The sequence below is a fragment of the Homo sapiens genome, chromosome 9 (genome assembly GCF_000001405.40).
Source record: "Homo sapiens chromosome 9, GRCh38.p14 Primary Assembly".
Lineage (NCBI taxonomy): Eukaryota > Metazoa > Chordata > Mammalia > Primates > Hominidae > Homo > Homo sapiens.
In genome coordinates, this window is record NC_000009.12 from 5,875,720 (window position 1) to 5,890,388 (window position 14,669).

Genomic DNA, 14,669 nt, shown 5'->3' on the forward strand with positions numbered 1-14,669 from the left:
GTAGTCACAGAGACTCAGCAGGCTGAGGCCGGAGGATTGCTTGAGGCCACAAGTTTGAGGTTGCAGTGAGCTATGATCACACCACTGCACTCCAGCCTGGGTGACAGAGTGAGACCTTATCTCTAAAAAATTTTAAATTAAAAAACAGATCTCAGGGAGGGAGGCTTACTCTCAACTGGAGTAAAGGAAACAGCAAGAGAGGCCATGAGCAAGGGAGCAGCGAGTCTGTGGCAGCAAGCAGTGGCTGCTCAGAGGGGCCATGGGGCAGGGGGAGCAGAAGCCCTGGGTGTGGGATCTTTCTCATGGCTTTGCTGGGAAGCTGTGGGTGGGCTCCCCAGTTGGGATTCACTTTTCAGGGACTTTTCTCTATCAGCTTGTACTTCTGTCCAGGTCAGAGACTGCATGGTTTTCAATCTTTAGCTTGTGTTGGAATTACCTGCAGAGCTTGTGAAAATACTGAAGGTTGAGTTTCTGATTTAGTAAGTCTGGGGTGGGGCCTGAGGGTGTGTTTTTCTAACCAGTCCCTAGGGGCTGTTGCTGCTGCCTGTCGAGGACTACATTTTGAGACCCATTGAACAGGAAGACAATTTTATTTTATGTGACACCATGGTAGGCATGTGTAGCCTCTCATGTAACACTCACCACAGCTCTGCTGGAGAGGTGCTGGACAGTTTGTGAACCTCTGTTATGGGTTGAATTGTGTCCACCAAAATATGTTGATGTCCTAACCCCCTGGACCTCAGAATGTGACTTTATTTGGAACTAGGGTAGTTGTAGGTGTAATTAAGATGGGGTCCTATTGGGGTAAGGTAATCTGATATGACTGGTGTCGTTATAACAAGATACAGAAACACAGAGAGTGAAGAATGCCACATGAGGACAGAGACAGGGAGAAGACAGCCATGTGACAATGGAGGTGCAAATTCGAGTGATGCACCCACAAGCCATAGAATGCTCAGCACTGCCAGGCACCAGCAGAGGCCAGGAGAGAAGGAAGGATTCTCCCCTATAGATTTCAGAGACAGCATGGCCCTGCTGACACCACGCTGTGGCCTTCTAGCCTCCAGAACTGTGACACAGTAAATGTGTGTTGTTTTAAGCCACCCAATTTGTGTTACTTTGTTACGGCAGCCAGAGGAAACTAATACACTCTCAAAGCCAAACTAGCCTTAGGCTGTTCTCTCCAGGTGACTCAGCTGTTCTGTGAGTGCTGTGACTGCAACTGGCGGGACCTGGGATCCCTTCCTGAGTCAAAGAGAGCTATGGACATGAGGTGACCTGGTGCAGAAACATTGCCCAGTGGGGGCACTCTTTCCCGGATAGTGACGATTGGCCTAGCCAGCTCCTTTGACTGTGTGCGAGTGATAAAGAGGTAACAAGACGCATCAGAAGGAGCAAGCAGGGGGCATCCTGCAAAGCCATTCCAGCCACAGTCATCTCCTTAATGAAGAGGGGGCTTGTCCCAGGTCTCCAGGAAGCAGTTATGAAATTGTCCTGTTCTTCCTAATAATTAACTTATCTACCTCATCTGAGCAACCATTTGTGTGCCTCTCTTCTTTGCAATCTGGAAGGACCTAAAAAAATAAGAAGAATTCTAAATTAAAAATTACGATCTTCATTTCTCAGTTGAGCAAACTGAGGCTCAGAATGGTTAGGTAACTTATCCAGGGGCTAATAAACTGCAGAGATTGGTCTTAAACCCCTGGCTTCTATTTTACCATCGCATTCAAGTTATCTCTCAGGGGAAAGGCCCACGCAGAGTCTCTTGGTGTGAGGTGGCTTCTACTGTGAGCACCCCACATATCAGACTATGTGCCCTGCAGAATGCACAATGGCCACACCATGGGCTTGGGCAGGGGCCAGCAAGCAGTTTCCTCAACAAGCTACTAAGAAAAAGGTGGCTGCTCCCTCTCTGTCTTTGGCGCCCAGAGCTTGCCTCATTCTTGCCTCATGCATGTCTGCATCATTCATTCAACAAGCACTTATTAAATACCTTCTATGCTTCCCAGCCTTTGAGTGTTAAGGGTTCGTGCAGTTCTTTAATTTGAGGAGTTATCCTTCACACCCTTAACCACTAACTCAGTATCCCCCTCCCTAAGCAATCAATATGATTTTTACTATAGAGGAATTCATACAGGAAAGGGATTTATGCCTAAGGCTGTCCATGTATTGTCTGAAGAAGGTCTGCCTTCGAAAACATGTGTTCATGTGATGTAGACTATTAGAGGTTCAGAAAGGGAAACAGCAACTCAACAAGCTTTGGTGACTACTGAATCCAGTCCTTGGCATATCATAGGAGCTCAAGAAATGTTATGGACTAGTTGAAAGGATCTGGGCAATGCCTCTGTTAGAAATTATTTATCACCAGGACCAGTTAAAAATCAGTGTCTTCATTTATTTATTTACTTTTATTCATTCAAGAAATATCTATTGAGTCCCTACTGATAATGGAAAGGTGAATGAGTCAGTCCCTGCTCCTGAGAACATTAAGGAATAATCAACATGGAGGGTCCCTGGAACCAATGTTACTAAATAAATAACCGACCCTGGGGAAGAGCAACCATACTTAAAAGGCATCTTATGCTGGACTGTGTTTAGTTCCTGAGAAGTGTCCCCCTTGGGGAGGCACCATGTATAAGAATGGGAGTTGGGCCATTTGCCAGTTACTACTTATGTAATCCTAAATTATCTAAACTCATGAGCCTCATTCTCCTCTGTAAAAGGGGTGTAATAATCACACCTACCTGACAGCGCTGCTGTGAGGATTTGAGAAGAATATGAAATAATCCATGTAATAATCAGTTTGCTCAGTTTCTGGCACTCAGTAAGAAGACATACATTTAGTAGATATTTATGGGCTGAGCTCCTTGTGGAAAGGGATTACATTTTAGTCTCTTTGTTAACTACTTCGAGGAATAGGCCCATCAATCACACAAGAGGTGGGATCTATAATGACTCTTCATAATGATGTGGCCCAAAGAGTGTTTCTTGGAGCACCAAAGCCAACAAACACTTTCTTCATAATTAAATAGTTCGAGAAACTCTGCTGGCAATGCAACTGTCTTCTCTTGAAGATTCATAAGGTATATCAGTAGATTAAGGATGTTAGAAGAGTTTGTAATGAAGAAACCTGTTTAACTTTATTTAGTTCAGTGTTTTCCAATCTTATCGGACCAATAATGTACCCTGGAAGAACCCAAACTCCTGAAGCTTCAACTTGGAAGGAGATTCTGGGCAGAGAGATGGTTGATGCCAGAGCTCCTGCCTCTCCTGAGGGTTTCTTCTCCCCCATGGAGTTCTCACTTTACTCTCTGCTGTTGCCATCTATTGACTTCCAGGGTTGTTCTGACGCCTCATTAAAACTCACAGTAGAGCTGATGCTGGCTGAAATATTACAAAGACTTTGCTAAACATCAGAGGGACTTCCAGAAGAATACAAAGAAACATCAAGAAACACATCAGGCTGGGTGCGGTGGCTCACACCTGTAATTCCAGCACTTTAGGAGGCTGAGGTGGGCAGATCACTTTAGGTCAGGAGTTCGAGACCAGCCTGGCCAACATGGTGAAACCCCATCTCTACTAAAAATAAAAAAATTATCCGGGTGTGATGGTGCACTCCAGCCTGGGAAGGGCAACAGAGCAAGACTCTGTCTCAAAAAAAAAAGAGAGAAAGAAAAAGAGAAAAAAGAAACACATCAAAGCCTGATGGGAGTTGCAGCCCCCACACAGCCGGCTGCTGGCAGGCATTGTCCCCTTGAGACCCTGCCTCCTTTTCATCCCTAAAGGGCTGGTTGACCCATGATCAACCCAATCCCAATCCCCAATGCCAGCGGCCCCAAAGGAACCTGACCCTTGATGACCGCCCACACTGGTCTGGTGGCCACCGCTGGCTCTTTAAGATATGCTTGGGCCCTTGAAGCTTCTCTTAATTAACTGACAAGCAGACACTGGGCTGGACCAATTAAATGAGCTCAGGGATGACTCACTGGAAGGAAATGCAGAGATACAGAACCAGATAATCTGACTCACATGGTCAGCCTCTCTAGGTTCTAGCTTATTTACCTGCAGAATGTCAGAGATAATGGATTTATCCGACCTCTGACTATAATTCTAAAAAATCCCATAGCTCGGATCTCCCTGTCAGATAATAAGTCAGTTCTACTGAATTATTTTTTAATGTAACAAGACAAAAATGCTACGTAGAACTTACTTCTTTCTGAGACAGAATCTCGCTCTGTCTCCCAAGCTGGAGTGCAGTGGTATGATCTCAGCTCACTGCAACCTCCGCCTCCCGGGTTCCAGAGATTCTCCAACTTCAACCTCCCAAGTAGCTGGGATTACAGGCACACAGCACCATGCCCAGCTAACTTTTTTTATTTTTAGTAGAGACAGGGTTTCACCATGTTGGCCAGGCTGGTCTCACTCCTGACCTCAAGAGTTCTGTCCACCTCAGCCTCCCAAAGTGCTGGGATTACAGGTGTGAGCCATCACACCCCACCAGAAGTTTCTTTAAAAATAAAAAATAAAAAAACAAGCCAAATCCCAGCACTTTGGGAGGCTGAGGTGGGCGAATCACAAGGTGAAGAGTTAGAGACCAGCCGGACCAACATGGTGAAACCCTGTCTCTACTAAAAACACAAAAATTAGCCGGGCGTCATGGCACGCGCCTGTAATCCCAGCTACTCAGGAGGCTGATGCAGGAGAGAACTGCTTCAACCTGGGAGACGGAGGTTGCAGTGAGCTGAGATCCCGCCACTGCACTCCAGCCTCGGCAACAGAGTGAGACTCTGTCTCAAACAAACAAACAAAAACAAAAAACAAACAAACAAAAAAACACTGAAGTTCTTTAGCTCTTAAAAAGTCTGAATTAGTTTTCCCCACACAGACATGGTCAGGAAGAAATTAGAAAACATGACTCTGACCTTGGGCAATTTCAGTTTCTACCTGATCCCTTTCCCTCCCCTTCCCTTTCCTCCAACATTACTTTTTTTTTTTTTTTCCCTGAGATGAAGTCTCGCTCTGTCGCCCAGGCTGGAGTGCAGTGGTGCCATCTCAGCTCACTGCAACCTCCGCTTCCCAGGCTCAAGCAATTCTCCTGCGTCAGCCTCCTGAGTAGCTAGGATTACAGGCGTGCGCCACCACGCCCAGCTAATTTTTATATTTTTAGTAGACATGGGGTTTCATCATGTTGACCAGGCTGGTCTCGAACCCCTGACCTCATGATCCACCCGCCTCGGCCTCCCAAAGTGCTGGGATTACAGGCATGAGCCACCACGCTCGGCCCATTACTCTTAAAATTATAAGATCTCACCCAAGGTGGAGGAAATCACCTAACTCATCCAGGGATAAGAAGTTCTGTCAAAGGGTTGGTTTATTCCTTTACACACTTCACACACACACAATCCTTCCCCCACCCCTGACACCCTTTTCAACTATTTAAGGTCTGGGGGCTACTTCCGGGTATTTTTGGGTATCAGCAGGGAGACAGAAATGAGCAGGATTTATGGGAGAGTCAAATGCCCCTCTCAAAACAGTTAAAGGCCTTCCTTATAAATGGCCTCTCTCTGTAAATATAAAAACTAACTATAAGAATCTCAAACGGTCAGCCCTAAAAGACCAGGTCTTGTGGGATTGTAGAGTTGGCCGCTATGAAGGGAAGACTGGAAAAAGTGCCTCCAGAGACACGGGGTGGTCCACAGCCTAACAGTTAAAATGCTCATCACTTTTAAGAACTTTCCTAACCCCTTTAGTTCTTTGATGCTAAGCAGGGAAGAGGGAGGCTTGGAGACCAGGGATGTCCTCCCAGGTGGTGCTGGGGCCTGGGTAACCCTCAGGGTTGCCCTCAGGAGCCCTCTGCCTCTGGAACACCGTGCTTGGTAGGAGTTATTGAAGGGCTGTGTACAGTGAGTAAGCCCTTTCTTGTCAGCAAACCTTCATCAAGTCTTCAGAGCGATACCTGTCAAGAAGGATATGATATTTAGGGTGATGGTGACTGGGTAGGGAAAGGCTGATTTCTTTCAAAATTGGAAATAGAAAAATACACTGAAACAGACAATTGTTCTTAGTGTTGAAATATCATCCTGATTTCTCTGATGGTGCTACTTCCTAGGAAGTCACTAGAGATGAGATCTGAGTGACGGTTTAGTTCACTGAGGCTCTACCATGTGGCAGGCTCTGCGCCAAGCAATGGAGATACAGAAAGACGTAATCCCCACTCTCACAGAGCCCAGGAACCAGTGGTTGTGTCAGACATGAACAGGTGATGTCACTGTCATGCAGTAAGTGGTAGGATGAGAATATGAACGGGGAGCTCCCGGCAACCTTCCATAGTCTCCTGCAGGATTTTTAGATGTGCGACCCCATTCTTCTCACAGTGCTTAATAGGAAACAGCAAAGACTAGGAAGACTTCTCAGGGACAAATCCTAGCTCAACGAACCCAGTACTGTGTAACTGTGATGGTCACCATTTGCCAAATGTTGTAGAGGGCATCTCTGTCTTTGTCTCTGTGGGATCCCTTACTTCTTAATTTGGTGACAGCAATCTAGATTCTTCCTGAAGAATTACTCCTTCCCTGTTGCCTTAGCCTTGATGGGGTGTTAAATACCACCCCTTACACCCCACCTCTAGACACTTTATGCCTGAGCAAGGATTTCGCATGAGACCCAAGCTAGCCAAACAAGTGTGAAAGTAGTCAGAATCAAAATGGAGTCACTAATGTTAAGAAAACCCTGACAAATTGAACCCTGACAAATGAAAGAGGCTTCTCATACTTGTATGCCTGATAACAAAAGACTGCAAAACCACAGCCTTGCACAAAGGCCATCACAACCTTACACAAAAAATACTGCAAGGACAACTGCCTAATTACTGCCTGTCCAGTCTCACACTGAAGTCACCCATGTTATTGATCTTTGTAGCCCAAAATAATTATTTCAGGACAAGTATGTAATCCTCTTCACTTTTCCTTTAAAAACCCTTGTCTTCCTCAGTGTGGCGATTCCTCAAGGATCTAGAACTAGAAATACCATTTGACCCAGCCATCCCATTACTGGGTATATACCCAAAGGTGTATATGTGGCACATATACACCATGGAATACTATGCAGCCATAAAAAAGGATGAGTTCATGTCCTTTGTAGGGACATGGATGAAGCTGGAAACCATCATTCTCAGTAAACTATCACAAGGACAAAAAACCAAACACCGCGTGTTCTCACTCACAGGTGGGAATTGAACAATGAGAACACTTGGACACAGGAAGGGGAACATCACACACCGGGGCCTGTTGTGGAGTGGGGGGCTGGGGGAGGGATAGCATTAGGAGATATACCTAATGTAAATGACGAGTTAATGGGTGCAGCACACCAACATGGCACATGTATACATATGTAACAAAGCTGCACGCTGTGCACATGTACCCTAGAACTTAAAGTATAAAAAAAAACAAAAACAAAGACAAAACCCTTGTCTTCCTTTACTTCCCTAAATATGCACATAGTTTGCTGTGGCACATTACCATTGCAATGCTTTATTCCTAAATAAACATCTTTTGTTTTGGAGAACCTCTCTCTGTGTATTATTTAGTTTGATGCAAGATTCTCCAAGGAACCTGAACTTGTACACAGACAAAGATGAACATGAACAAAGCTAATTTCATTCTGGTGGCAGCAACCTGGAAGGTCATCCATGAATTCTTGCTACCTGTATCCCACAAAACAACTTCATCCTATTCCTTCTTCTTCTTTTTTTTTTTTTTTTTTTTTGAGACAGGGTCTTGCTCTTTCACACAGGCTGGAGTGTAGTGGTGCAATCATAGCTCACTACAACCTCATTCTTGTGGGCTCAGGTGATCCTCTCACCTCAGCCTCCTGAGTACCTGTGACCACAGGTGCGCACCAACATGCCTGGCTAATTTTATTTTTTTGTACAGACAGGTTCTCACTATCTCTCTATGCAGCCCAGGCTGGTCTTGAACTCCTGGACTCAAGCAACCCTCTCACTTCAGCCTCTCAAACTGCTGGGATTACAGGCATGAGCCACTGCACCCACCCCCTATTCCTTCTTAGGGACAGGCTTGCTCATATTTTTCTATAGTTTTGGGGACACCTTCATAACCTCCCATTAATTTTCTTAAGTAGCCAGAGTTCCTGTTGCTCACAACCAAAGAACCTGGACTGACACAAGGGTTTGCTCCATGCCAGACACACTAGGCCTCACCCTCCCTGAGAGAAAGAATTATTAGGTTTCCATTTTGCAGATAAAGAGACTGATGTTGACAGTCTTACACACCAAAAACACACGGCCAGTCAATGCTGGAGCAAGCATTTAAATAAAAATCAGAACCCAGAGCGCAGTCTCTCTCCTTTTTGTCCCTTCATATCACCAATCCAGAGCCCTGCCATTCAGGTATAAGCTGCTGCTTCTAGATCTCACATTGGTATGATTTACAGTTTACACAATGTTTTCACACACAACAATACAGGTAATCCTCATGGCCACCTGGGAGGTAGATATCTTCATGACACGGGAAAATAGATTTACTGCAAGTCTGGTCAACCCATTTTTTTCCCTGCTTAAAACCGTTCTGTGACTCAACACAGCCTACAAGATCAGTCCAAAGGCTCAGCGTGGTATTCCAGGCCCTGTGGCGCCCAGGACCGGGGCCTCAGGCCTGCCACTCCCTTTCTTGCACTTGGAGCTCCAGCCATATGGAACGACTCACAATTCCCTGAAGCTCACCAGACCGGTCTGGGGCCCTGAGCCCTAAACCACTGGGATGTCACCTTCCCGTCCTCACCCGAAGTTATGGTTGGTGAATGCCTACTTAACTTCCACTGGACTGGCCTTCATCTCATGCCTATGAAGGTGATCCCTACTTACCTTCCAGACACAAACACAGCCCATCTTCCTCTCAAGCCTCTTCTGTACCAATACCCCCACTGTACCCTAGACAAGAATCTGGGGTGGCTCTAGCATTATTAGATATTGTAGTGAACCCTGGTGTTGACTCTTCAATATTTTTCCACTCCAAAGGTCATTTTAATCCGTTCCTGTAATCTCAACCTTCCTGTGACTAGTCACAAATGGCCATGGGATTTACCACGTTTCTGATTTATTAGTGCTCTTCTCTGCTCACCTGCGAGACTTGGGCCATGTTCTCAAGACTTCAGCCAGCTCTGTGCCCGTGTTCACCTGGAACCCCTTTCCTAATAGAGCCCGGGAACTGATGAAGCCTCCTTTGCTGCTTCCTGAGAGGGAGCCACACTCAAGGCCAGCCCGAGGCCAGCAGGCCACAGCTCTTGCTCTCGGGTGTCTGAGGGAGGAGGGAGTCCCTGTGGTCCTCCATTTCCTCCACCCTCCTGGCTGCTGGGGCTTCCCCTTTCGACCCCTGCCTAGCCATGCCTCGATTCTATTCCCTTCTCTACCTCGCCACTATCCCCTCACCATCAGAACCTCTCTGTCCTGGGTCTCTTTACGTCACAGCAAGCGCTTGTTAGCTGATTAACAATTAGCCATGGCCATGAGTTCATAGGCTCACCCCAAGGACTGGGCACCCCCTCCGAACTGTTTGTACATTCACAGGGAATTCGCAGAAGCACTAGCCTTTCTCAATGAACAACTTGCCAGGCACTGTGCTAGATGAGTTGACGTATGTTATCTCTTTTTTTTTTTTCAGTTTCACTCTCGTTGCCCAGGCTGCAGTGCAATGGCTCGATCTCAGCTCACTGCAACCTCCACTTCCCAGGTTGAAGTGATTCTCCTACCTCAGCCTCCTGAGTAGCTGGGATTACAGGCATGCACCACCACGCCCGGCTAATTTTTTTGTATTTTTAGTAGAGACGGGTTTTCTCCATGTTGGTCAGGCTAGTCTTGAACTCCTGACCTCAGGTGATCTGCCCACCTCGGCCTCCCAAAGTGCTGAGATTACAGGCATGAGCCACCGCACCCGGCCCATATGTTATCTCATTTAATTCTCACAGCAATTCTGTAATTATTCCCTATTCCTATGTTGCAGATGAAGACGGAATAGCTCAGAAAGGTTAATTAACTTGCTCAAGGTCTCACAGATAATAATGAGAGCTGGGATTCAAGGCACCTGTGAGGCTTACGGGGTGAGGACTCAGTAGTGACTGGGATGTGGCCTTGCCTTCTCTGCCTTCTGAAGAGCCAGTTCTGTTTGTTCAGCTCCTCCTATGAAAGGGCAACAGGACTTTCTGGGATTTTCAGGCATAACCCTGAAGTTCAGGTAGAAGTTGTTTTCCCCAAATCTTTTGAGCCAGGGGCTTGTAGCCTTCCCAAAAGGGAACACAGTGGACGCATGGCTAGCGGGGACCGAAAGCGGAAGCCCGAGCAGCCGGCTATCAACCCTCGTTTGTAGCAATACCTCTGCGGGGTGTGTGAGAGATCAAAAGCTCACAATATTGTGGGGAGCACTGAAGAGGGCCTAAGCCCCAAGCAGGATGAGTCAAGAGGATTCTGGCTCCTGAGCACTGTAAGCAGATGCCAAAGAGGCATCTCTGGCCCCTTCATGAGGTGGGCCTGTGATGCCAGGTGGCCAAGCCCACTAGGTGGCAGCAGAGAACCAGTCAGTGGCCAGCAAGGTCTAGCAGGTACAAATCCTAACCCTGGGGCTGGTGTGGGGGCTGAGCTGCCTCACAGTAACAGTTCACACTATTGTTGCTAGGCGTATTCTGTGCCACGTGCTGTACCAAGCACTTCCAACAGGATCTCGTTTAACTCTCACCATGAACCTATGAAGCAGATGCTGCTATTATCCCTTTCATTTCAGATGCGTGCACTGGGGCTTTCAGAGGTTTGAGATTTGCCCAAGGTCACACACACTGAAGAGATGAAGTGCAAGTGGTTTGGACTCTAGAGCTCCTGCTGTTAGTTTGGGACTAGATTGCCAGGGGAGAAAAGGAAGCCACTTGGAAGTGTTGAAAATGAAGGCAGGTAGGGCCTGACTTGGGCTGGCTTTGGTGTGGACTCTGAGGCCCAAGGCCGGCTCAAAAACAGAGACTAAGAGCCTAGTTAGAGGGAACTTCTAGGGGGCTTCCGGGAAACAGGATGTGGTAGGTTTTTCAAGTTGAGGTGCCCAGGGAACCCCTATTTGAAGAAGCGATCGCCAGCTTATCCTGTTCACATAGCCCTGAAAGGGCCAGGCACCTCAGAAGCTGCAAACCACTCAAAGACCCAAAGGGATGCCTGTGAAAGAGCTGGTCAGGTCTCCCTCGTTGAGCTCAAAGAACAAACAAGGGCCAGGTGCAGTGGGTCGCGTCTGTAATCCCAGCACTTTGGGAGGCAGAGGTGGGCGGACCACTAGAGGTCAGGAGTTCGAGACCAGCCTGGCCAAAATAGCAAAATCCTGTCTCTACTAAAAATACAAAAACTAGCTGGGCATGGTGGTGCATACCTGTGGTCCCAGCTACTCAGGAGGCTGAGGCAGGAGAATCGCTTGAACCCAGGAGGTGGAGGTTGCAGTGACCCGAGATCACACCACTGCATTCCTGCCTGGGCAACAGAACAAGACTGTCCCCCAACCCACCCACCAAAAAATATCTCAAACAAGCTGGAGAGCATGTTCCCAGACTGGCCATTGTGTGCCCAGCATGCTGAGTCTGGTCCTGTAGCATCCTCTGGGGGAGGGGATGATGCCAGCTGCCTGTTGTCTCCACCCTGGAAGAATGCCAGGGCACACTCAATCCCCAAGTCAGCTCACATCACCAGAGAACTTGAATGAGACCTGGGAACTTCACCTTGCCCTGAGATCCAGGTCAGTACTCCCTCCTCTGTGGTCTTGCCACCAGTCATATATGGGCCAGGCTATTATAGAACCCAGCTCAGTGCAATGGACTTTTCAGCTCAGAACTGCATCCCTCTTTGTAGACTAGTACTCACCACCAGGACTTTCTGGGATTTTCAGGCATAACCCTGAAATTCAGGTTGGAGTTGCTCTCTCCAAATCTATTGACACAAGGGGCTTATATCCTTCCCAATTTTTGCACAAAATTCCCTGAGATAGCCTCCACTCTGGGAACTCAGTCTAAGTCATGGTCTATTGTTCTGCCTCAAGGTCTCCAACTGGTTGTTCTTTCTGAAATGCTCTCTCTCCATCTTTTCATGGCTGACTGCTTCTTACCATTTAGGTCTCAGTTTAAATTTTCCCTCCTTTACAGATAGGCTCTCCCTGGCTTGCCTAATAAAGATCAACCCTTCTTTGTTTTCTTTCTCCCTTACCATTTTCAGTGGTGACTATCCAGTATCTGGTGGGTTGGTACTGCCCTTACACAGGACAGCCTTTGTCCATAGCTCACGATGGAAACCAGAAAAATCACAGGATCTGAAAGGAATGGGTCCTCAGGTATTATGGGAAAGGGGACCTTAGAGGTCATTTAATCTAAGTCTTGAGCTGCTAGGACTGTCATATTCCGGTGGGGTTTTTTTTCTTTGTTTTGTTTGTTCACAATGGCTATGGAGAGCTGGTGAGCAAAGGTGACTGTTGTGTCCCACTGAAATGCTTCTGGGCTGTCCAAGATAGATCATGATGTTAAGTAGAATCAGCTCTGGGGTCAATTATTAGGTGAGTGCAAAAGTAACTGTGATTTTTGCACTGTCGGACTTTGCTGTTTGATATTAAATACATTCTTAAATAAATGTGGTTATGTTATACATCATTTTAATGGGCATTTCTCACTTTATGTATTTTTGCTAAAGACATCACTTGTTCTTTGTTGTATGTTTATTTTAGACTATGGAAATGTTGGACAAAAAGCAAATTCAAGTGATTTTCTTATTCGAGTTCAAAATGAGTTATAAAGCAGCAGAGACAATTTGCAACATCGACAATGCATTTGGCCCTGGAACTGCTAACGAATGTACAGGGCAGTGGTGGTTCAAGAAGTTTTGCAAAGGAGATGAGAGCCTGGAAGATGAGGAGCTGGCCACTGGAAGTTGACAACGACCAGTTGAGAACAATCATCGAAGCTGATCCTCTTTCAACTACACTAGAAATTGCCGAAGAACTCAACGTCGATCATTCTACAGTTGTTCAGCATTTGAAGCAAATTGGAAATGTGAAAAAGCTCATTTAGTGGTTGCTTCATGAGCTGAGTGAAAATTTAAAAAACGGTCTTTTTGAAATGTTGTCTTATCTTATTCTACACAACAACAAGGAAGAATTTCTCAATTGAGTTGTGATGTACAATGAAAAGTGGATTTTATATGATAACTGGCAATGACCAGCTCAGTGGCTGGTCTGAGAAGAAGCTCCAAAGCACTTCCCAAAGCCAAACTTGCACCGAAAAAAGGTCATGGTCACTGTTTGGTGGTCTCTGCTGGTCTGATCCACTACATCTTTCTGAATCCCGGTGAAACCATTATATCTGAGAAGTATGCTCAGCAAATCAATGAGTTGCACCGAATAGTACAACACCTGCAGCTGGCATTAATCAACAGAAAAAGCCCAATTGTCCATGACAGCACCTAACCACATGTCACACAACCAATGCTTCAAAAGTTGGAATAAATTGGGCTACGAACTTTTGCCTCATCTGCCATATTCACCTGACCTCTCATCAACCGACTACCACTTCTTCAATCATCTTAACAACTTTTTGCAGGGAAAATCCTTCCACAACCAGCAGGATGCAGAAAATGCTTTCCAAGAGTTCATCGAATCTTGAAGCATGAATGTGTATGCTACAGGAATAAACAAACTTATTTTTCATTGGCAAAAATGTCTTCATTGCAATGGTTCCTATTTTGATTAATAAAGATGTGTTTGAGGCTGGGCGCGGTGGCTCATGCCTGTAATCCCAGCACTTTGGGAGGCTGAGGCAGGTGGATCATGAGGTCAGGAGATCGAGACCATCCTGGCCAACATGGTGAAACCCTGTCTCTACTAAAAATACAAAAATTTGCCAGGTGTGGTGGCGTGCACCTGTAGTCCCAGCTACTCAGGAGGCTGAGGCAGGAGAATTGCTTGAACCTGGGAGGCAGAGGTTGTAGTGAGCTGAGATCCTGCCACTGCACTCCAGCCTGGGCGACAGAGTGAGTCTCCATCTCAGAAAAAAAAAATGTGTTTGAGCCTAGTTATAATGATTTAAAATTCATGGTCCGACACCGCAATTACTTTTGCACCAACCTAATTGATGTCTAAGTAGGTCATATTCTACCTGCAAAAAGAAAATTTCATCTATCCCTTTCACATAGATGGAAACCCACTATCTCCAGTGGACAGTTAACACCAAAGGCATCACAGAGAACTCATGGAGCTCAGCTGAGGAGGTTTCAGGGATTTTTCTATTTCCTTTTCTTGATTATGAGAGTCTGGGACTAGATGCTCTCCAGACCTGTGCCTAAAGACTCTTCAACCCTTTGAGATGGAGATGAGGGAGGGAATAGGGAACCCAGTTTAGTTTGGATTTCAGATCCTTTTGTGGGTCATAAGCGTGATGATTGGGTTTCCATGTTCACGTGTGAGATATGCCTCCCTCAAACCTTGTTACAATGACATGGGCACCTTACCTATCTGACATGAGAAAAACAAATGTGGATTTCAGATAAACAAAAAATAACTCTTTTAGTGTATATGTCCCATAGAATATGTGGACATATTTATCCTAAAAATATTGTATGGGACATAGTTGTATTAAGAAACTGTTCATTG

General features: G+C 46.1%; 1 protein-coding gene and 1 non-coding gene across 4 annotated transcripts in view, besides 1 other annotated feature; one reads left to right on the plus strand and one right to left on the minus strand.

Annotated features, from left to right (window-relative positions):
• Window positions 1-3,114: 3,114 nt before the first annotated feature.
• The window catches only part of BRD10 (bromodomain containing 10), a 129,649-nt gene continuing 118,094 nt past the window's right edge, over window positions 3,115-14,669 (minus strand). For 2 of the 3 annotated variants that reach the window (XR_007061251.1, XR_007061249.1), the window contains exons 10-11: window positions 5,743-5,956; window positions 3,115-3,384 (exon numbers count right to left, since the gene is read on the minus strand). The gene's annotated coding sequence lies outside the window, so the exon portion shown is untranslated. Of the gene's footprint in view, window positions 3,385-5,353; window positions 5,957-14,669 lie in introns of those variants that run through there. The other variant, XR_007061250.1, reaches the window with a different exon arrangement.
• Window positions 3,902-4,403: an enhancer, noted in NCBI's record as "H3K27ac hESC enhancer chr9:5879621-5880122 (GRCh37/hg19 assembly coordinates)". NCBI's record gives its function as "activates a minimal SCP1, AML or CMV promoter by ChIP-STARR-seq in primed H9 embryonic stem cells {active_cell/tissue: H9 hESC(primed)}" and the evidence as "EXISTENCE:reporter gene assay evidence [ECO:0000049][PMID:30033119]".
• On the plus strand, window positions 14,431-14,537 carry LOC124902341 (small nucleolar RNA U13). The gene has a single exon (XR_007061917.1). It is a non-coding gene; the product is annotated as a small nucleolar RNA U13 (small nucleolar RNA).